The sequence below is a fragment of the Homo sapiens genome, chromosome 19 (genome assembly GCF_000001405.40).
Source record: "Homo sapiens chromosome 19, GRCh38.p14 Primary Assembly".
NCBI classification, from domain to species: Eukaryota; Metazoa; Chordata; class Mammalia; order Primates; family Hominidae; genus Homo; species Homo sapiens.
Window position 1 is genome coordinate 55,202,009 of NC_000019.10, and position 22,991 is coordinate 55,224,999.

General features: G+C 52.4%; 1 protein-coding gene and 1 long non-coding RNA gene across 27 annotated transcripts in view, besides 1 other annotated feature; one reads left to right on the plus strand and one right to left on the minus strand.

Moving 5' to 3' along the window:
- PTPRH (protein tyrosine phosphatase receptor type H) overlaps positions 1 to 7,493 on the minus strand; it is a 28,255-nt gene extending 20,762 nt beyond the window's left edge. For 8 of the 26 annotated variants that reach the window (XR_001753731.1, XM_047439145.1, XM_017027057.1 and 5 more), the window contains exons 1-5: positions 5,158 to 5,302; positions 4,681 to 4,968; positions 3,318 to 3,584; positions 1,774 to 2,040; positions 48 to 314 (exon numbers count right to left, since the gene is read on the minus strand). Coding sequence is in view for 25 of the 26 variants with exons in the window: in XM_047439145.1 (XP_047295101.1) it covers positions 48 to 314; positions 1,774 to 2,040; positions 3,318 to 3,584; positions 4,681 to 4,968; positions 5,158 to 5,287 (1,219 nt within the window). In the remaining variant the exon portion in view is untranslated. Of the gene's footprint in view, positions 1 to 47; positions 315 to 1,773; positions 2,041 to 3,317; positions 3,585 to 4,680; positions 4,969 to 5,059; positions 5,407 to 7,374 lie in introns of those variants that run through there. The other 18 variants (XM_047439150.1, XM_047439148.1, XM_047439149.1 and 15 more) reach the window with 10 other exon arrangements.
- A 6,087-nt stretch (positions 7,494 to 13,580) lies between these two features.
- On the plus strand, positions 13,581 to 15,417 carry LOC124904771 (uncharacterized). The gene is made up of 2 exons (XR_007067346.1): positions 13,581 to 14,701; positions 15,088 to 15,417. It is a non-coding gene; the product is annotated as an uncharacterized LOC124904771 (long non-coding RNA).
- Positions 15,941 to 16,127: a silencer, noted in NCBI's record as "fragment chr19:55729317-55729503 (GRCh37/hg19 assembly coordinates)". NCBI's record gives its function as "represses an EF-1alpha promoter that drives an FKBP-Casp9 reporter gene in an ReSE screen in K562 erythroleukemia cells {active_cell/tissue: K562}" and the evidence as "EXISTENCE:reporter gene assay evidence [ECO:0000049][PMID:32094911]".

A 22,991-nucleotide genomic window follows, 5' to 3' on the forward strand; every position in this document is an offset into this window, starting at 1 on the left:
GTCCCTTAAACAAATAAGAGATCAAACAAATGGCGACTGCCTCTCACCTGTGGTGGCATTTCGAGTCTCCCGGGAGCTGTTGATTCCATTCTTCCCCACCCACACGGAAAACACATACAAACACCCGGGTTCAAGTCTATCCACGGTGATGTTGGTGTGTGCTGTGCTTCGAGTCCCTGCTCTGCCACCATCTCCAGTGTACTCAACCCCGTAGGTGGAGTTCTGTGGGTCTGGGCCATCGGGGACCTCCCAGGTCAGGGCGATGGAGCTGTTGGTCTGAGCCTCCACTGTCAGGTTTCTCACTGGGTTGGGAGCTGAAAACCAGCACAGGAGGGAAAATCAGTTGTAGTTTCTGGCCCTCAAACTTTCCAGCCCTTCCTTAACCATTGCATCCAGCAGGTGGAGGCAGGGAGGCCCAGTTCTGCACTGTCCAGTGTGGCAGCCACGAGTTCCACGTGAGTGTTGAGCACCGTGAGGTGGCTTTTGTGAAATGAGATGAGCCGTTAGTGTAAGATCCACACCGGCTTTCGAAGAGTTCGTATGAAATTAAGAATTAAGAATGTCAACTATCTGATTGATCCTATACACACACACACACACACATATATATACACATACACATATATATACACACACATATATATACATACACATATATATATATATTTTGTGGGTATATACTCAGTGTGTATATTTAATGATCCTTTCCTTATATTGATTACATGTCAAAATGATAATATTTTGTATCTGCCAGGCGCAGTGGCTCACACCTGTAATCCCAGCACTTTGGGAGGCTGAGGTAGGCGGATCACCTGAGGTCAGGAGCTCAAGACCAGCCTGGCCAACATGGCGAAACCCCGTCTCTACTAAAAATACAAAAGTTAGCCAGGTATGGTGGCATATGCCTGTAGTCCCAGCTACTCAGGAGGCTGAGGCAGGAGAATACTTGAACCCAGGAGGTGGAGGTTGCAGTGAGTCAAGATCATGCCACTACATTTCAGCCTGGGAGACAGAGACTCTGTCCCAAAAAAAAAAAAGGGCTGGGCACGGTGGCTCACGCCTGTAATCCCAGCACTTTGGGAGGCCAAGGCGGGTGGATCACAAGGTCAGGAGATCGAGACCATCCTGGCTAACACGGTGAAACCCGTCTCTACTAAAAATACAAAAAATTAGCCAGGTGTGGCGGTGTGCGCCTGTAGTCCCAGCTACTCGGGAGGCTGAGGCAGGAGGATGGCCTGAACCCGGGAGGCAGAGCTTGCAGTGAGCCAAGATTGCGCCACTGCACTCCAGCCTGGGCGACAGAGGGAGACTCTGTCTCAAAAAAAAAAAAAAAAAAATTGTATCTGATGGGCTACATAAAATATCTCATAGTAATTTAGTTTCTTTCTTTCCTTCCTTCCTTCCTTCCTTCCTTCTTTCTTTTTTGAGACAGGGTTTCTCTCTGTTGCCCAGGCTGGAGTGCAGCAGTCCAATCAGAGCTCACTGCAACCTCTGCCTCCCGGGCTCAAGCGATCCTCTCACCTCAGCCTCCCGAGTAGGTGGGACCACGGGAACACGCCACCACAGCTACTTTTTTATTTTTTTTGTAGAGACAGGCTGACCAGTTTCTTTGTACTTATTTTTATGTGGCTGATAGAAAATTGAAATTCTCACCTGTGGCTTCCACTGTGTTTCTATTGGACTAAAGAACCTGTCACATTTTGTCAGCTCCCAACCACCCCCTACCACTGTCCTTATAAAAGAAATAAAAATAAAACAGCGGCTGCCTCTTACCTGTGGCACTAGTGACAATCTCCACAGAGCTATTTACTCCGTCTTTCTCCACCCACACAGAACACGTATACAATGACCCGGGTCCAAGGCCATCCACGGTGACTCTGGTGTCTGTTGTGTTTCGAGTCTCTGTTCTGCCACCATCTCCAGTGCACTGAACGCAGTAGGTCGAGTTCTGTGGGTCTGTGCCATCGGGGACCTCCCAGCTCAGGGAGATGGAGCTGGTGGTCTGAGCCTCCACTCTCAGGTTCCTCACTGGGTTGTGAGCTGAGAAATTAGGAAGAAAGATCTAATATGAGCAGGACTACAGAACATAACGGGGGCAGCCAGTGAGCTTTTTGTTTGTTTGTTTTTTCGAGACAGAGTCTCTGTCTGTCATCCAGGCTGGAGTGCAGTGGCACGATCTCGGCTCACCACAGCCTCCGCCGTCCGGGTTCAAGCGATTCTCCTGCCTCAGCCTCCCGAGTAGGTGGGACTACAGGTCTGCACCACCACACCCGGCTTATTTTTATATTTTTTCACCATGCTGGCCAGGCTGGTCTCGAACTCCTGACCTCAGGTGATCCTCCCACCTCGGCCTCCCAAAGTGCTGGGACTACAGGCGTGAGGCAACATGCCTGGCCAAGTGGGCATTTTTGATCATCAGAGTTCCTAGTTGTCCCTCAACAGCTGGTGCCAGTAGATGCAGAGTTTATGGTCTAGACCAGGGCTTCTCATTCTTTGCTGTGTGCACATCTCACAGGGGACCTTGTGAAATGCAGGTTCTCACTCAGCAGGGCTAGGATGGAGCTGAGAGACTGCACTCCCCCCCACCCTTTTTCTCCCCCACCAGTGTCACTTGCCAATGTATTTCCATCAGCTCTCAGAGACCCGGATGCTGCCCACACATGGACCACACTTTGAGTAACAAAGACCTGAGCCAGCGCTTTCCAACTGAGCTTCTGCAACGATGGAAATGCTCTCCCACCTTCCAGTATGGTAGGAGAACAGAGAAGGAAATGGAAGCCCTTCAACAGGGCTTTCAAACATATGAAATGTGAAACTGAATTTGCAGTTTCATGCAACTTTAACGAGCTTAAATTTAATAGCCATGTGTGGCTGGTGGCTACCATATCGGACAATGGAGATCTAGCCAGAGGGAGCTCTCCACATCAGGATCATGGAGCTGATGATCTGAGTTTCCATCCTCAATATGTGACGCAGCTGGGGACTAGAAGAAGAGTCAGAGGGTCAGAGTGTCCCCACTCACAGTATCTAATTCCTTGAAAGCTCAGGTAACATGCCTTGGCCCCTACACATTCCTCTTGGTGCAGGAAGGTACATTCTAGAGAGTCCTAGACACAGACCGGCCCCAGCTTAGCAGCTGGAGGTACCATGGACATTCATTCCTTCTTCATCTCCTGAGCTGAGACTGCCCCAGGATGTGGACATGAGTACCTGGCTCAATGTGGCCCAGAGGGACTATGGAATAGAAATCCGCTACGTTCTCCTGCCTACTGCCCCTTAAACAAGTAAGAGCAAAACAAATGGCGACTGCCTCTCACCTGTGGTGGCATTTCGAGTCTCCCGGGAGCTGTTGATTCCATTCTTTCCCACCCACATGGAAAACGCATACAAACACCCGGGTTCAAGTCCATCCACGGTGATGTTAGTGTGTGCTGTGCTTCGAGTCCCTGCTCTGCCACCATCTCCAGTGTACTCAACCCCGTAGGTGGAGTTCTGTGGGTCTGGGCCGTCGGGGACCTCCCAGGTCAGGGCGATGGAGCTGTTGGTCTGAGCCTCCACTCTCAGGTTCCTCACTGGGTTGGGAGCTGAAAACCAGCACAGGAGGGAAAATCAGTTGTAGTTTCTGGCCCTCAAACTTTCCAGCCCTTCCTTAACCGTTGCATCCAGCAGGTAGAGGCAGGGAGGCCCAGCTCTGCACTGTCCAGTGTGGCAGCCACGAGTTCCACGTGAGTGTTGAGCACCGTGAGGTGGCTTTTGTGAAATGAGATGAGCCGTTAGTGGAAGATCCACACCGGCTTTCGAAGAGTTCGTATGAAATTAAGAATGTCAACTGTCTCATTGATCCTTTATATATATTTGTGTGTGTGTGAGTATATACTTGGTGTATATATTGAATGATCGTTTTTATATTGATTACAAGTCAAAATGAAAATACCTTGTATCTGCCAGGTGCAGTGGCTCACACCTGTAATCCCCGCACTTTGGGAGGCCGAGGCAGGCGGATCACCTGAGGTCAGGAGTTCGAGACCAGCCTGGCCAACATGGCGAAACCCAGTCTCTACTAAAAATACAAAAGTTAGTTGGGCATGGTGGCACATGCCTGTAGTCTCTGCTACTCGGGAGGCTGAGGCAGGAGAATCACTTGAACCCAGGAGGCAAAGGTTGCAGTGAACCAAGATCATGCCACTGCACTCCAACCTGGGCGACAGAGCAAGACTCTGCCTCAAAAAAAAAAAAAATTGTATCTGATGGACTACATAAAATCTCTCATAGTAATTTAGTTTGTTTTTCTTTTCTTTTGTTTTCTTTTGTTTTCTTTTCTTTTTTTTTTTTTGAGACAGGGTTTCTCTCTGTTGCCCAGGCTGGAGTGCAGCGGTCCAATCAGAGCTCACTGCAACCTCTGCCTCCCGGGCTCAAGCGATCCTCTCACCTCAGCCTCCCGAGTAGATGGGACCACGGGAACACGCCACCACAGCTACTTTTTAATTTTTTTGTAGAGACAGGCTGACCAGTTTCTTTTTACTTATTTTTATGTGGCTGATAGAAAATTGAAATTCTCACGTGTGGCTTCCACTGTGTTTCTATCCAACTAAAGAACCTGTCGCATTTTGTCAGCTCTCAACCACCCCCTACCACTGTCCTTATAAAAGAAATAAAAATAAAGCAGTGGCTGCCTCTTACCTGTGGCAGTAGTGACAGTCCCCACAGAGCTATTTACTCCGTCTTTCTCCACCCACACAGAACACGTATACAATGACCCGGGTCCAAGGCCATCCACGGTGACGTTGGTGGCTGTTGTGTTTCGAGTCTCTGTTGTGCCGCCGTCTCCAGTACACTGAACCCAGTAGTTGGAGTTCTGTGAGTCTAGGCCATCGGGGACCTCCCAGCTCAGGGAGATGGAGCTGGTGGTCTGAGTCTCCACTGTCAGGTTCCTCCCTGGGTTGGGGGCTGAGAATTGGGAAGGAAGGTCTGACAAAAAGGGAACCAGGTCAGTACAATCCCTCCCAACCCCTGAGCTCACGCCCCAAGTCCAGAAACAACGGCGCTCATAAACCCCTACCATGGACCACTGGACCCCACGGGGACCCCCCAGAGGCTCACGGCAGTTGCGGTCCCACCTCTTCGAGTGGGCAGTGAGTTCAGGCAGGGGTCACTCACCAGGCGCCCTGGCCCCTGTCCAGCTGCACAGGCCCTGGAGGGAACCCAGAGAAAACGGAGTCAGCCTCTCAACCACTCCTCCGCCCAGTGAGGCCGAGGGGCTGGGAGGAGCGGCTGGTCCCCGCCCCATGAGTCACCCTTGCATGGGAAGGAGGGGCCGGTGTTAGGCTGGGCTGTCACGACCTCGACCGTCTTTCCTGGGTCGAGGAGAGAAGGGGGAGCATGGCAGGAGCAGAGCTTAGGGAGCTGGGGTTGGCTCCACCCGATAAGGCTGAGAGATAAAATTAATGATTTCATTTCCTGAAATATATGTCCTTGGAAAACCGAGGGCAGAGAGCAATGAACAGACTGGGAAGGGAGAAAAAAACCAAGGTTGGGGATCAGGAACCTTGGCCTGAGGGTGGAGGGCCTGGGGGCCTGGGGGCCTGGGTCTGAGGGAGGAGGGGCTGGGGGTCTCGACCTCTGGTTTGAGGGAGGAGAGGTTGGGGGCCTGGACTCCTGAGTCTGAGGGAGGAGGGGCTGGGGTCTGGACTCCTGGGTCTGAGGGAGGAGGGGCTGGGGGTCTCGACCTCTGGTTTGAGGGAGGAGAGGTTGGGGGCCTGGACTCCTGAGTCTGAGGGAGGAGGGGCTGGGGGTCTGGATTCCTGGGTCTGAGGGAGGAGGGGCTGGGGGTCTCGACCTCTGGTTTGAGGGAGGAGAGGTTGGGGGCCTGGACTCCTGAGTCTGAGGGAGGAGGGGCTGGGGTCTGGACTCCTGGGTCTGAGGGAGTAGGGGCTGGGGGTCTGGATTCCTGGGTCTGAGGGAGGAGGGGCTGGGGGTCTGGACTCCTGGGTCTGAGGGAGGAGGGGCTGGGGGTCTCGACCTCTGGTTTGAGGGAGGAGAGGTTGGGGGCCTGGACTCCTGAGTCTGAGGGAGGAGGGGCTGGGGTCTGGACTCCTGGGTCTGAGGGAGGAGGGCCTGGGGGCCTGGGGGCCTGGGTCTGAGGGAGGAGGGGCTGGGGGTCTCGACCTCTGGTTTGAGGGAGGAGAGGTTGGGGGCCTGGACTCCTGAGTCTGAGGGAGGAGGGGCTGGGGTCTGGACTCCTGGGTCTGAGGGAGGAGGGGCTGGGGGTCTGGATTCCTGGGTCTGAGGGAGGAGGGGCTGGGGGTCTGGACTCCTGGGTCTGAGGGAGGAGGGGCTGGGGGTCTCGACCTCTGGTTTGAGGGAGGAGAGGTTGGGGGCCTGGACTCCTGAGTCTGAGGGAGGAGGGGCTGGGGTCTGGACTCCTGGGTCTGAGGGAGGAGGGGCTGGGGGTCTGGACTCCTGGGCCTGAAGGAGGAGGGACTGGGGGTCTGGACCCCTGAGTCTGAGGGAAGAGGGGCTGGGGGTCTGGACTCCTGAGTCTGAGGGAGGAGGGGTTGGGGGCCTGGACTCTTGGTTTGAGGGAGGAAGGGCTGGGGGCCTGGACTCCCGGGTCTGAGGGAGGAGGGGCTGGGGTCTGGACTCCTGGGTCTGAGGGAGGAGGGGCTGGGGGCCTGGACTCCTGAGTCTGAGGGAGGAGGGGCTGGGGTCTGGACTCCTGGGTCTGAGGGAGGAGGGGCTGGGGGTCTGGACTCCTGGGCCTGAAGGAGGAGGGACTGGGGGTCTGGACCCCTGAGTCTGAGGGAAGAGGGGCTGGGGGTCTGGACTCCTGAGTCTGAGGGAGGAGGGGTTGGGGGCCTGGACTCTTGGTTTGAGGGAGGAAGGGCTGGGGGCCTGGACTCCCGGGTCTGAGGGAGGAGGGGCTGGGGTCTGGACTCCTGGGTCTGAGGGAGGAGGGGCTGGGGGCCTGGACTCCTGGGTCTGAGGGAGGAGGGGCTGGGGTCTGGACTCTTGGTTTGAGGGAGGAGGGGCTGCTTCCTGTCCGTGAGCACAGCTGTGTGTTGCCTGAAGCCAGTGTCCCCCGCAGCAGACACGACAGTGTCTAAGGGCCCGGGTGAAGCTGGTGTCCCCCACAACAGACACGACAATGTCTAAGGGCCCGGGTGAAGCTGGTGTCCCCCGCAGCAGACACGACAGTATCTAAGAGCCCAGGTGTAAGACTCTCCTACAGTCTCTGCCAAGCCTGAAGCCCTCTTCCTTCTCCAGGGGATCTTCAGCACCTACTTCCTCAAGATCGAGGTGCAGGCACCCAGCTCCTTCTCCCTCAGACCTGGGAGTCCCTGCCTTGGGAGCCCGCTCTGGGCGGGGAGCACTTACCAGCAGCACCAGGTTCCCCCAGACCCCGAGGCCCCCGCCAGCCCCAGCCATGCCTCCAGACACTGCCGGGGACCCAGGAGTCCCAGGCCTAGTCCTTCCACCTGCTGGACTTTACACTCAAGAATTTCCCCTTTACCAGATCATTGGTGAAGCCAGAGGCCAGGGCGGGAAGGGGAGGAGGAGGAAGTGGAACCCAGCTCCCAACCCTGCCCCGCTGGCCCTCACCTTCCTCCCTCACCGCTGCCTCTAGCTCTGACACTGGAGATGCCTCCCATCCTTTCTCCAGCCCCCAGCCCACTCCACTTTGTCCCCCGAAATCTCCCTCTGCACCCCAGGTACCGGGTGCCGCGCCCCACTGCTGCACGGATGCGGGACGTGGGGCAGAGGATGAGAGCAGGGGGTGCTGAGAGAAAGGCCAGCTGACTCCCTCGCCTCCCTGGTGGGTGATCACACATCAAGAGCAGCCTGGGGCTTAGACCTCATGCCCCTCGTCCCTGGAGCACGCTCTTCCATTCAGCCTCTGACGCCTTTCCCCTCTCCGTCTCCCACAAGCCCCTGCAGCTCTCACAAAATGAGCCCAGCGGGCTCCTGCCTCTTGGCCTTTGCCTAGACTGTCTCCCCCACCAGATGCACCTGCCTACTTTCCCCCTAACAGTCTCCTACCCACTGCTCCATTAGGATTCAGCTTGGAAATGACCCATGCCGGGCCTGGGGCCTTTCTAGCCTGGTCAGGACCCTGTGCACTGTCTTCCACACCCCAGACTCTCTAATTTGCATATCCATCTGTGACCCTGAGCAAATGACTTAAATCCACAGTGACTCAGATTCCTCATCTCTAAAGAATGGGCACCCTTGTAAATATGCTAAGAGAAATAGATGAGTTACTACGTGGAAAGTCTTGGAACAATGCCTGGCCCATTTTAAACAGTTGATAAATATTAGTCATGTTTATTTTTAGTTCATCCCTAGGCCACCTGTGCTCAGAAGGGGCCTGACACCCAGGGCTTTTCAAGGTGTTTTTGTTGACTTACTATGTGCACACGTGGACTGCCTTCATCTCACATATAGTGCGGAAATGAAGAATAGAAACCCCAGCCGGGCATATTGGTGTGTGCCCAGCTACTCAGGAGGCTGAAGTGGGAGGATCACTTGAGCCCAGGAGTTTGAGACCAGCCCGGGCAATATACAAAACCCCATCTTTACAAAGAAAAACAAAAAGAGAGAAAAAATTACCCAGGCATGGTAGTGCACGCCTGTAGTCCCAGCTACCGGGAGGCTGAGGTGGGAGGATCACCTGAGACTGGGAAGTCAAGGCTGCAGTAAGCTGCGATTGTGCCACTGCACTCCAGCCTGGGTGACAGAGTGAGCCCCTGTCTCAGAAAGCAAAACAATGGCCAGGCGCGGTGGCTCACACCTGTAATCCCAGCAATTTGGGAGGCCGAGGTGGGCAGATCACCTGAGATCAGGAGTTCGAGACCAGCCTGGCTAAGATGGTGAAACCCCATCTCTACTAAAATGCAAAAATTAGCTGGCTGTGGTGGCAGGCACCTGTACTCCCAGCTACTCAGGAGGCTGAGGCAGGAGAATGGTGTGAACCTGGGAGGCGGAGCTTGCAGTGAGTCAAGATAGCGCCACTGCACTCCAGCCTGGGTGACAGAGCAAGACTCTTTCTCAAAGAAAAAAAAAAAAAAAAAAAAAGCAAACAAAACAGCTGAGCATGGTTACTCACGCCTATAATCCCAGCACTTTGGGAGGCTGAGACGAGAGGATTCCTTGAGCCCAGGAGTTCAAGACCAGCCTGGGCAACATAGGGAGATCCCGTCTCTATAAAAAGTAGAAGTAAATTAGCCAGGCATGGTGGTGCACACCTGTGGTCCCAGCTACTCAGGAGGCTGAAGAGGGAAGATCAGTTGAGCCCAAGAGGTGGAGGCTGCAGTGAGCTGTGATTGCACCACTGCACTCCAGCTGGGGTGACAGAGGGAGACTCTGTCTCAAAATTAACAAATAAATAAATAAGTTCTCACACCACCACTTTGAGAAGTCAGTTTCTCTGTCTCTGAGAGCCTCAGTTTCCCCATCTGTATACACAAAGGTTTGGTTGCGAGAAGTTTCCTTTCAGTGGGCACCGGATGTAATTCATGCCAATCACTTGCTTGGGTTTCTGTTTTAACCTTTCTCTGTTTCTCGTCTATATCTTAAAAAAAATTTTTTTTTTATTGAGACAGGGTCTTGCTTTGTTGCCCAGGCTGGTCTCGAACTCCTAGACTCAAGTGATCCTCCTACCTTGGCCTCCCAAAGTTCTAGGATTATAGGCATGAGCCACCACACCCAGCTGTCTCCCCTATACTTTTTGATGTCTCTCTCTCTCTCCTGGTCCTCCTCCTCCTCCTCACTGTCTCTTCCCTCTATCTCTCTTCCCTCCCATCTAGATCCCCAACTTATAAACATGCTCACCCTCCCTGTCTATAAAAAAATGCATCACTTACATTGACTCCACACCCACCGTCCTACCACACCCTACTTGCTTTCTCTTCAAAACCCAACTCCTCGGCCGGGCATGGTGGCTCACGCCTGTAATCCCAGCACTATGGGAGCCCGAGGCAGGTGGATGACCTCAGGCAGGAGGTCAGGAGTTCAAGACCAGCCTGGCCAACATGGTGGCCATCTGTACTAAAAATACAAAAATTAGCCGGGCATGGTGGTGCATGCCTGTAATCACAGCTACTCAGGAGGCTGAGGCAGGAGAATCGCTTGAACCCAGGAGGGGACACTGCAGTGAGCCGAGATCGCACCACTGCACTCTAGCCTGGGTGACAGAGGGATACTCCATCTCAAAAAACAAAAAGAAACAATAAAAAAATCAACCACTCCACAAAATGACCCACATTCCCCAGCTTCCAAAGTCCTCCTGGAGCAGCTGCCTGTGTATGGGGAAGGCAAACCAAAAACAAAACCTGTAGGACCTCGGACTCGGGCCCTCCAACTCCAGTCCCTCCTTCAGATGAATGCAGCCCCAGCCAACATCTTAGCAGCAACCTCAGGAGAGACTCGGCCGTGCTCCTCTTTTCCCCTTAAGAACAGAAATTTCCACGGAGCCACTAATGAGAGTCCCATTAGCACGACCCTCATCACCTGAGTTCTTTTCAATTCCTCTTACCTGTGTGATGAGAAGCACCAAGAGAGCGTTGCTTGGTGTATGTAATGATACCATCTCTAGGTCTGGTGAGCAGGAACCAGAGTCACCACAGTGGGGCAGCAGAGGGCCTGGGCTCAGGTTTCCCAGAAGCAGAGCCTGAGGCAGGGATTCAGATGCTCATGAACTGTTTGAGGGTTTGCTTTCAGAAGACAGAGAGTGATGAAAGCAGTATGGGGCAGAGGAAGGAGCCAAGTGAGGCTATCACTTCAGAGGGATCCCATCACAGAGACAGGATCTGAACTTTTAACCTCTAATCTTTGTCTATGGGCTTCTCCAGGGGTGAGAGTTTCATGACTTTCCTAGTAAAACACGTTCCTCTCAGGTCAAGAGCAAGTTTTTTGTTTTTTTTGTTTTGTTTTGTTTTCAGATGAAATCTCGCTCTCACTCTGTCACCCAGGCTGAAGTGCAGTGGCACCATCTTGCCTCACTGCAACCTCCACCTCCCGGGTTAAAGGATTCTCCTGCCTCAGCCTCCCGAGTAGCTGGGATTACAGGCGCCTGCCATCACACCCAGCTACTTTTTGTTGTTGTTGTTGTTGTTTGTTTGTTTGTTTGAGACAGAGTCTGGCTCTGTTGCCCAGGCTGGAGTGCAGTGGCTCGATCTCAGCTCACTGTAAGCTCTGCCTCCCGGGTTCACGCCATTCTCCCGCCTCAGCCTCCGAAGTAGCTGGGACTACAGGTGCCCGCCAACATGCCCAGCTAATTTTTTATATTTTTTGGTAGAGATGGTGTTTCACCATGTTAGCCAGGATGGTCTCGATCTCGTGACGTCGTGATCCGCCTGCCTTGGCCTCCCAAAGTGCTGGGATTACAGGCGTGAGCCACTGTGCCTGGTCAATTTTTGTACTTTTAGTAGAGACGGGGTTTCACCATGTTGGCCAGGCTGGTCTCGAACTCCTGACCTCGTGTGATCCGCCTGCCTTGGCATCCCAAAGTACTGGGATTACAGGTGTGAGCCACTGCGCCCAGCCAAGACCAAGTCTCTTGAGAATGTGGCATCTGCAAGCAGCCAACACTGCTTAAGAATGAGTGCTCAGTGCCTGCAAAGGAGATCTGGGTGAAGCACCAGCGACGTCCACCCCTAAAGCCTCACACCTGTTACCAGTCCTGAGCCAGTTCTCAGTCTTGGAACCCCTTCCATGTAGCGGATGCTTTTCCCTCAGGGAGGACTCACCGATACTAGTCAAAGTACATACTGTAAACCTTCCTCCCAGTTTCTCCTAAAGGCCAATATCCATGGTCGCTGGGGATTAGAGAAAGAGAAAAGGCTACTGGACTCTGACTCTGAATCAATCCTAATTTGGAGGCACACACAGGTCACCGTGAATCATGGTCTGACTGGTGTGCTTGGGGCTGTCAGGTAACGAACGGAGGGTTCACCTAAAGACCATCACACAGTGGGTCAACGGGACTCTAAAGACCCTGTGTGGCTCCTTCCTCAGGCCTTGAGAGTGAAGTTGAAATCGACATTCTCATAAAATGGCAGACACAATGCTTTGGCTTCCCTGATCTGTAGTGTGAAAGCTTTGATGGTGGGAAGAAGAAATGGAAGCCCCTAGAAATTCCCCCATCTATATTGGGCCAGTCTTTCATTGCTATAAAGAAATACCTGAGACTGGGTAATTTATAAAGAAAAGAGTTTTAATTGGCTCGCGGCTCTGCAGGTTGTACAGGAAGCGTGGTGCTGGCATCTGCTCAGCTTCTGGGAAGGCCTCAGGGAGCTTTTCCACTCATGGCGGAAGGTGAAGAGGGAGCAGGCACATAACATGTCGAAAGCAGGAGCAAGAGAGAGAGGACGGGAGGTGCCACACACTTCTATTTTTTTATTTTATTATTATTAAATTTTTGAGATGGAGTTTCCCTCTGTCACCCAGGCTGGAGTGCAGTGACACCATTTTGGCTCACTGCAACCTTCACCTCCTGGGTTCAACTCCCAGCTAGTTTTTGTATTTTTAGTAGAGATAGGGTTTTGCCATGTTGTCCGGGCTGGTCTCAAACTCCTGACCTCAGGCGATCCAATGCACCTCGGCCTCCCAAAGTGCTGAGATTACAGGTGTGAGCCACCGCGCCCGGCCTTGCCACGTACTGTAAAATACCCAGATCTCTTGTGAGCTCACTCATCACCATGGGGATGGTACTAAACCATTCATGAGGGGTCCATCCCCAAGATCCTAACACCTCCCACCAAGTCCGGCCTCCAACACTGGGGATTCCATTTCAACATGAGATTTGGTGGGGACACAGATCCAAACCATAGTATCATCCTTCCCAAACAGTCAACCCAGGGAATCACAGAGATCAGCGCCAGCATCAAGCCTTGGAAAACACAGGGGTGGGATATGGGAGGGTGATTCCTAAACATTATCCTTTGATTCACATGATTAATCTATGCAGGAGCTTATGGATCTTGGAAGACAGAAGTAAGAAATGGTGATACTGGCCGGGCTCAGTGGCTCACGGCTGTGATCCCAGCACTTTGGGAGGCCAAGGAGGGCGGATCACGAGGTCAGGAGATCAAGACCACGGTGAAACCCCGTCTCTACTAAAAATACAAAAAATTAGCCGGGCGTGGTGGTGGGCACCTGTAGTCCCAGGTACTTGGGAGGCTGAGGCAGGAGAATGGCGTGAACCCGGGAGGCAGAGCTTGCAGTGAGCAGAGATGGCGCCATTGCACTCCAGCCTCGGAGACAGAGCGAGACTCCGTCTCAAAAAAAAAAAAAAAAAAATGGTGATACCCTCGGAAGTGGCTGGTCTTCTCAGGGTAAGGTCTCCTTCAGCAAATCAGCACAGCCCCTGGCACCTGATATTCAGCTAATGAACTGGAAAAGGCGTTTTGCCTATAGAAGTTAGCCTGAATGAAGAGTGTTCTTTACTCCAACAGTGACAGAAGGTCAGTGTGATTCCCTTTAGACTGTCTGGGACCTCGGTCATCTTATCAACCCATAAGACATCACGCTGTTCCCCCTCACTCCTGGATAGCAATTTATCCTCACTGGAATGGACACTTACAGGTGTTTATTAATTTCTCAGTGATTTGTTGAATGAATGAAGGAATGAATGAATGAATGATGTCTTTACCTTGAGATTGGAGTTCTTTCAGATTTGCTCTCTGCCCACCTCACCAGCCTCTTCTCCTATCTTTACTCCAGCTACACAGATGTCCGTGCATGTTTTTCTTAGCACTCCAGGTGGATTCAAACCTCAGGGCCTTTGCACACACTGTTCCCTCTGCCTGGTAAAATATTTCTCCACCAGCCAGGGCCTACTTCTCTTTCTACTTCTGGTTGACCCCAGATACAGTTGGCCACTCCCTCCTATGTTTGGAGCCAAACTAAACAAATCTCTTATTATAATACTCATCACATTGTCTGTGGCTTTGCCTATTTTTCCTTTCTTTTATCAGAGTGGAAGAAGCTTCTTTGGGTAGAGACAAGTCTATTCATCTTGGGGGACATCAGGCCAACTCCACACCGAAGGCTGATGAAACTTCAGGCAATATCCCTTCATCTGAATCTGATGACGTGTGTCACGTTTTCCAGGTCCACACTCAGGGATCTGGTCTGCGTTTTCATGTAAGCTTTCTCCACTCTCACTTTCCCTGGACTCTCATCCAGGATTAGATTTTTTTTTTTCTTTTAAATGGAATCTCATTCTGTCACCCAGGCTGGAGTGCAGTGGCACCGTCTCGGCTCACTGCAACCTCTGCCTCCTGGGTTCAAGCGATTCTCCTGCCTTGGCCACCACGCCTGGCTAATTTTTGTATTTTTAGTAGAGACGAGGTTTTGCCATGTTGACTACGCTGTTCTCGAACTCCTGACTTCATGTGATCCACCCGCGTCAGCCTCCCAAACTGCTGGGATTACAAGCATGAGCCACCACGCCTGCCGCGATTAGATCATTGATCTCATTGCAGGTGAACCAGTCCAGACCCCCATCCAGGTTTTCCAGCTTGCTCGCTCCTCACGCTGTGGCTGTGTCCTGTGTTGCCGTGTTTCCGCTGAATCCAGCCCTTGTTTTCGCTCTTCCTGGCCTTGCGGGCAGCCAGGATTGAAAGATCCAGGAAGTGACAGGGGCCTGACTCATCAACTTGTAAGAGAGCTGGGGTTCTCCTAGATCCATGCTCGCACTGAGGTGAGAAATGAGAAGCCAGGGCCGGGAGCCTCCTGGGGGTTGGCTGCCAACGCCAGGCAGGCGGGGAATGGTGATTTTCGCTTGTATCGTGGAGGATGCCACGCACAGACGTGAATAGAAAGAGCCTGGACCGTGTCCTGAGGTCAGCGACTGAGGTCCTGGGTGGGGCCAGCCAGGACCTGCCCGGGGGCTACTGCCCTCTGAATCAATACCTCCAGGGACCCTACGTTGACACCCATGGCCTCCCACTCTCCACCCCTCAGTCCTGCGTGCGGCACGTAGTGCTCACTGGGCGTCTGTGTAGGGGGTTGAAGGCTGAGGCTGGAACAAGGGCGTGGCGGTCGCAGGCTCCAGGGCACGACGGTCCTTCCTCTTCCCCTTCTCAGCCACATCTGGGGCTCCGTCCCTGCAGCCAAGGCTCCCTGGCGCTGTCCTTGGTGCTGACGCGGTTCTGGAAGTGCGGTGCCAGGGTGGCTGGTGCGGCTCCCGATGGAAAAGCCCCACCAACCCCACAAAGCAGACTCGGGAGAGAACACGCCACCGTCTTTAGCGAATCTTACCAACCCAGGGCCAAAGCGCCCTGCACCCCAGAGCAGCACTCGTGGTGGGAACACAGGCTGATGTAATAAACAGAAAAGTGACTGCGGGGGATGGGGAAGGCGGGATGTCCTTAGCGTCCCATGGAAAAAACATATTTCCTCCAGATGGGATCATCGATAACTTTTTTGAGTCTTGAGTAAATAACTTCGGGCGGGGCGCGGTGGCTCACGCCTGTAATCCCAGCACTTTGGGAGGCCGAGGCGGGTGGATCACTTTAGGTCAGGAATTCGAGACCAGTGCGGCCAATATGGTTCTGAAAATCCCGTCTCTACTAAAAAGACAAAAATTAGCCAGGCGTGGTGGCAGGCTCCTGTAATCCCAGCTACTCGGGAGGCTGAGGCAGGAGAATAGCTTGAACCCGGAGGTGGAGGCTGCGGTGAGTCAAGATCGTGCCACTGCACTCCAGCCTGGGCGACAGAGCGAGACTCCGTCTCAAAAAAAGAAAAAACAAAAACAAAACAAAACAAAACAAAAACTATGAGAAAATTCCATCCCCCATTGTTCGGAACCCAGGAATCTGGGCGCTGTGTGGTTTTCCATAAAAACTGGTATATTCGTTTGCTAGGGCTACTACAACAAAGAGCATAGACTAGGTGACCCAAACAGCAGAGATTTGTTTTCCCACCGTTCTGGAGGCTGGAGGTCCAAGATGAAAATGTGGGCAGGGTTGGTTCCTCCTGAGGCCTCTTTCTCCTTGGCTTGCAAATGGCCGTGTTCTCCCTTGTCCTCCATGTGTCTGTGTCCTAACCTCCTCTTCTGATAAGGACACCAGTCAGGTTGGATTATGGCCCACCTTAGTGTGACTTTTTTTTTTTTTTTTTTGAGACAGCATCTCACTCTGTCTCCCAGGCTGGAGTGCAGTGGTACGAACACAGCTCACTGCAGCCTCTACATCCTGGGCTCAAGTGATCCTCCCACCTCAGCCTCCTGAGTAGCTGGGACTACAGTGGCACATCACCATGCCTGGCTTACATATATATATATATATATATATATATATATATATATATATATATATATATATAATGTATATATATATAAAATGTATATATATGTGTATATATATATAATGTATATATATGTGTGTATATATAATGTATATATATATAATGTGTATATATATAATGTATATATATATAATGTGTATATATATAATGTATATATATATAATGTGTATATATATAATGTATATATATATAATGTGTATATATATATAATGTATATATATATAATGTGTATATATATATAATGTATATATATATTTATTTATTTATTTTAGACCGAGTCTTGCTCTGTTGCCAAGGCTGGAGTGCAGTCCCGCGATCTCGGCTCACTGCAACCTCTGCCTACCAGGTTCAAGCGATTCTCCTGCCTCAGCCTCCTGAGTAGGTGGGATTACAGGTGCCCACCACCATACCCGGCTATTTTTTTTTTTTTTTTGAGACAGAGTTTTGCTCGTCGCCCAGGCTGGAGTGCAATGGCATGATCTCAGCTCACTGCAACCTCTGCCTCCCGTATTCAAGAGATTCTCCTGCCTCAGCCTCCTGAGTAGCTGGGATTACAGGTGCCTGCCACCACACCCACCTAATTTTTTTGTATTTTTAGTTGAGATGGGGTTTCACCATGTTGGCCAGGCTGGTCTTGAACTCCTGACCTCAGGTGATCCACCCGCCTCGGCCTCTCAAAGTGCTGGGATTACAGGCGTGAGCCACCATGCCTGGCCTAATTTTTTTATTTTTAAGTAGAGACAGGGTTTCACCATGTTGGCCAGGCTGGTCTTGAACTCCTGACCTCAAGTGATCCACCTGCCTCTGCGTCTCAAAGTGCTGGGATTACAGCCGTGAGCCACCATGCCCAGCTTGGCTAATTAAAAAAAAATCTGGGGAGATGGGGTTCTCACCGTGCTGCCCAGGAAGATTTCAAACTCCTGGGCTCAAGCAATCCATCTGCCTCAGCATCTCAAAGTGACCTCATTTTATCTTAATCACCTCTTCAAAGACCCTGTCTCCAAATACAATCACATTCTGAGGTACTGGAGGTTGGGACGCCAACTTACAAATTTTTGAAGGAGGATGAAATTCAGTTCATAATAGCAGGGATGAGCTTTATGCCCCCTGAAAAAGACATACTTCCCCAGGTAGATTCATCTGTTAGTGTTTTTTGTTTTGTTTTAGACAAAGTCCCACTCTGTCACCCAGGCTGCAGTGCAATGGCACGATCTTGGCTCACTGCAACCTCCACCTCCCGGATTCAAGCGATTATCCTGCCTCACCCTCCTGAGTAGCTGGGATTACTGGCGCCCACCACCATGCCCAGCTAATTTTTGTATTTTCAGTAGAGATGGGGTTTCGCCATATGGGCCAGGCTGGTCTGGAACTCCTGACCTCAAGTGATCCACCTGTCTTGGCCTCCCAAAGTGCTTTCTTTTTTCTTTTTTCTCTTTTTTTTTTTTTTTGAGACAGAGTCTCACTCTGTCGCCCAGGCTGGAGTGCAGTGGCGTGATCTCGGCTCACTGCAAGCTCTGCCTCCCGGGTTCACACCATTCTCCTGTCTCAGCCTCCCGAGTAGCCGCCACCATGCCTGGCTAATTTTTTGTATTTTTAGTAGAGACGGGGTTTCACCGTGTTAGCCAGGATGGTCTCGATCTCCTGACCTTGTTATCTGCCCACCTCAGCCTCCTGAAGTGCTGGGATTACAGGCATGAGCCACCGCACCCGGCCCCAAAGTGCTTTCAAAGTATTGATTCAAAACTATGGCACAATCCCAACCCCACCCCCACTGCTCAGAACCCAGGGAGCATTGGGTTTGGTAGATTCCTTCTTCCACACCCAGAATAAATTTTCTCAGCTCCATTCCCCAAATGATGCTGACTTGAGGCAGGGGAAGAATGCTTTGGTAGCTCAGGGGAAAGGACTGTGGAGTTCCTGTCTTTCCCTCTTCCAAGATCCAAGGGTGCTAGCGACCTTTCTGTGTTCATGGTCAGAAGCAAGGAGGGAGAAAGACCAGGAACCACACAGCTCTTTGTCATCTCACAGGCAGGAAGCATCCAACAGAGGCCAGCTCTGGGGGGCATGCTGGGCCACATCATTTTTGCCAGTGTCCTGGAATAAGGAAGTGTAGGATAGTGAGGAAGGCAGACCGTGGGGCTCCTCCCTACCATGCTCATCAGGGCATCCAGGTGAGGGATGAAGCTGTCCTAAAGTCTTTCCAGAACTCACACACACGTGTCCCCACCTCTCCCCTCCTTGATCATGTCTCCATTTTACGTATTTACTGATCATCTTCTGCTATTGTTAAAGTCTAAGCTGAGGGGTGAAACCACAGCAGAAAGCAAGGAAGGCTCGACCCCAGATCACACAGGGAGAGGTGGACAGACAGCATGGCTCCGCCCATTTGCAGCCATTTCTGGGCCTGTAGGCTCTGGCAGCTCCTGGGATTGCTGTCCTCGGTGCTGAATACGCGTTTGTTGGGGGCACACCTGACAAGTTTGTCATTTTCAGGGAAAACCCAGTCTCTCTCGGCGCTGAGGAGAAAACATGGCACAGCCCTTCTCAGTCCTCTAGCAACCCTGGACTCTGCAGGAGAAAAGAGAGATTCCCTACATTTGTTTCTATGAGAGAAGGGAAGGCTGGAGCAGGGGAGTGGGGGAAATCTCTGCAGTCCTCTCGGAAAGCAAACCCTTCTACACCTGTGATCCCATGTGATTTAGCAGAGCCCTGAGTTAAAACTAGGCCATGATGACACTTGGTGACACAAACATCTGACAAAAGAGCTGTACCCTTTATATTTTCAAAGACTTTCTACAAATTAAGGAAGGCAGAAGACCCATTTAATGGGCAATGGACTTGAAGAGACACTTTACCAAGAATATCCAAATGGCCACAAACACACACACATACACACAAATGGGAATGTGTTCAACTTCATTAGTCATTATGGAAATTAAACCACAAGGAAGCACCAGAACACTGCAGCAGAAGAACTAAAATGGAAAAGACGAACAACCAACTATCTGCAAGAATATGGGGCAAATGAAGCTTCCTCACATTGCTGGCAGGATGGTAAACTGGTAAGCTGCTTTGAGAAATGGTTTGTCAGTAACTACGAAAGCCTAAGGTACGTATACCATCACTCAGCGATTCCACTGCTAGGCAGACATCTGAGGGAAAAAACTTCCTGTGTGCTCCAAAAGACATGGACAGAAATGTTCATGGTAGCTTCATTCATAGTATCCCAAAACTAGAAACATAAAATGTTCATGAAGGGAGGGATGAAACAATAAGTTGTAATACATTCATGCGATAAATAGTACACAGCAATAAAAATAAAAACACCCAGCATGGATCCACATTTCATCCACAATGTTGAGTGAAGAAAGCCAGAATCAAATAACTACATACTGTATAATTCCACTTAGAGAAGTTTCAAGGACAGACTACACTAATTTACGATGATAAAGATCAGGAGACTGGTCACTCTTGGGGAAGGGAGGTACAAACTGGAGGGGAGACAGGAGAACCTGCTAAGATGCAGAAAATTTATTTTTTTTTAATTTTATTTTTGAGATGGAGTTTCGCTCTTGTTGCCCAGGCTGGAGTGCAATGGTGCGATCTCAGCTCACCACAACCTCCGGCTCCTGGGTTCAAGCAATTCTACAGGCATGCACCACCACACCCGGCTAGTTTTGTATTTTTAGTAGAGACGGGGTTTCTCCATGTTGTTGGTCAGGCTGGTCTCGAACTCCCAACCTCAGGTGATCTGCTTGCCTCGGCCTCCCAAAGTGCTGGGATTACAGGCGTGAGCCACCACACCAGGCTATTTATTTTGAGACAGAGTCTCACTCTGTCACCCAGGCTAGAGTGCAATGGCACGATCTAGGCTCACTGCAACCTCCACTTCCCGAATTCAAGCGATTCTCCTGCCTCAGGCTCCCGAGTAGCTGGGATTACAGTCATGTGCCACCATGCCTGATTTTTGTATTTTTAGTAGAGACAGGGTTTCACCATGTTGTCCAGGCTGGTTTTGAACTCCTGACCTCATGATCTGCCTGCCTTGGCCTCCCAAAGTGCTGGGATTACAGGCGTGAGCCACCGTGACCGACTATTTATTTTTTGAGATGGAATTTTGCTCGTCGCCCAGGCTGGAGCACAGTGGTGCGATCCTGACTCACTGCAACCTCCACCTCCCGGGTTCAAGTGATTCTCCTGCCTCAGCCTCCTGAGTAGCTAGGATTACAGGCATGCACCACCACGCCCAGGTAATTTTCTTGTATTTTTGGTAGAGACAGGGTTTCATCGTATTGGCCAGGCTGGTCTCGAGCTCCTGACCTCAGGTGATCCACCCGCCTCAGCCTCCCAAAGTGCAGGGATTTCAGGCATGAGCCACCTCGCCTTTCAGCCCACACAATGAAGGTTTATGAAGCCCCAGATTCCAGGGCCTCCACCACAACCCCATCTCTGCCACACTTCTGGTCCCACTGGGGGCCGTGGTCCCTGCCCACTGGACCCAGTAGGTGTAGGTGTGGGGGTCTGGGCCCCGGGGGGATATACACCTTAGTGTAACAGAACTCAGGGTCTGAGCCTGTATCCTCAGATCCATGACCTGGCCGGGTAAGGAAAGGAAGGGAAGGGGGTCAGGGTTCCTGCAGGAAGGTTATCTGAGTGGCCTTAAACAGACCCAGTTGTCTCTTACTTGTAGTTCTCAAGAGTAACAGTAGAATGTGCTGGGAATGCAACATCCGGAGATATGGAGGGACTGGCCAGGCGGCCTGGGCTCCATTCCTGCCTGCCCTAGAAACAGGATGCCCTTCAATGCTTGAGCCCGGTGACTCAGGTTTCCCCCAGAGTAGAAAACCCAGGGCTGGGTACTTTTTGGGGTCCCTCAGCTGCCATACAAGTGAGGCACACACAGTTGTGACCCTATCCTCCCTAGGCCACTTTCCTAAGCCTTGGGGGACCAGCTTACAACGGACCCTGGGATTCTGCTGTCCCTTGCTGCCCATCTGTGAGAAACAAGCCCACTTCATGTAACTTTTTGCGTGTGGCGTTCTGTCTCATCACTCTGGCAAGTTGGTAACCAGTGCACAGTGAACCTGCTTCACAGACCACACCCCATAGTCCCTGGGCCTCCAGAGCAAAGGGAAGCATCCCCTCCTTCCCACAGCCCTGCTTGCTCTGGAAGGATGCACCCTATCAGTGGGGCCGATGCCAGAGGCCTCCTGAGGCCTCCTACTCCCCAAGCCCAGAGTGCTCTCACCCCTCGCCCGTGGCCTCTGTGAGCGTCTGGCTGGGGCTGTTGACCTCATGCTTCTGGGCCCACATGCTGGGGTACTGCGTCCCTGCAGCCAGGCCCTCCACAGGCACCCTGATGTCTGAGGAGTCACTGGCCCAGCAGAGCCAGTAGGGGCAGGTCTTGGAGTCTGGGCCTGCGGGGCCCTCAGGGTGAGGGAGCTGGTGGTCTGAGCCGGTGTGACCAGGCCAGGGACTAGTTTGGGAATGTGGAAAGGAGAGAGTCATTTGATAAAGTTTGTTTGTGGCTCTAATGAGAATAAAGTGCACAGCCTGGCACTTTTTACAAATGTGCACACGCACGCACGCGCACACACACGCAAACACACATGCACACACAAGTGCACGTGCACACACACGCACATGTTGCTGGGCAGTGGAAAGGTGGCCCCTCTTACCTGTAGACATGCTCAGGACGTCCCTGGGGCCACCTACTCCTTTCTTCTTGGCCCACACAGAGGTGGTGTAGAGGGTCCCAGGCTGAAGCCCTCCACCACGAGCCAGCAGTGTGACGTGCTTGTGTTCCCGCTGGCCATGCCCCTGGACCCAGTAGATGGAAGTCTGCCGGTCTGGGCCCTTGGGGCTGCCCAGCTCAGGGTGATGGAGCTGGAGGTCCGAGCCTCCACACTCACGATTCTGTCTGCTTTGGCGGCTGACATGGGTAGAAGCCTCTGCGGCAAACAGAAGACGGAATCCCACGGCCCTTCCTAGACGTGCAGGATGGAGGCTGATGGGGTCACTAACCTGCTGCTGTGGCCTCTGTCGTGGTCCCGAGGGCCTGGGGAGGGCCCAGATGGGGAATCAGACCCACGGTGGTCTGACCTGCAGGATCGGGATGAAGGCTGCTGAGTCCCACCCCGCCTCATCCCCACCAGCCACCCCGGCTTGGGAGGGAAGATGGAGCCGGCGTTTTGCCCCTTGCCCCAGGTCTGGGTCCCGGCAGGGCTGGAAGGAGCCTGAGAGGGATGTGCGCAGCACCTCCGAGAGTCCCGCTTTAGAGAAACACGAATCAGATCATGAGAAAGCAGACCTCTGAGAAGTCAGATGAAAGGTCGTCGGGGGACCAGAATCAGGGAGGAGGGACACGACGCTGGGGCTGCTGGATGCCGACAGGAGAGCAGCGTCCCGTCGCTCTGGACTGCCGACCCCACAGAGCCCAGGGACCAAAAGCCAGAATGTTCCCCAAACACCAGGGATTATGGGCCCAGCCCCTCCTCCCTCAGACTCAAGAGTCCAGGCCCCCAGCCCCTCCTCCCACAGACTCAGGAGTCCAGCCCCTCCTCTCCCAGACCCAGGAGTTCGGGCCCCCAGGCCCTCCTCCCTCAGACTCAGGAGTCCAGACCCCAGCCCCTCCTCCCTCAGACGCAGGAGTCCAGGCCCCCAGCCCCTCCTCCCTCAGACCC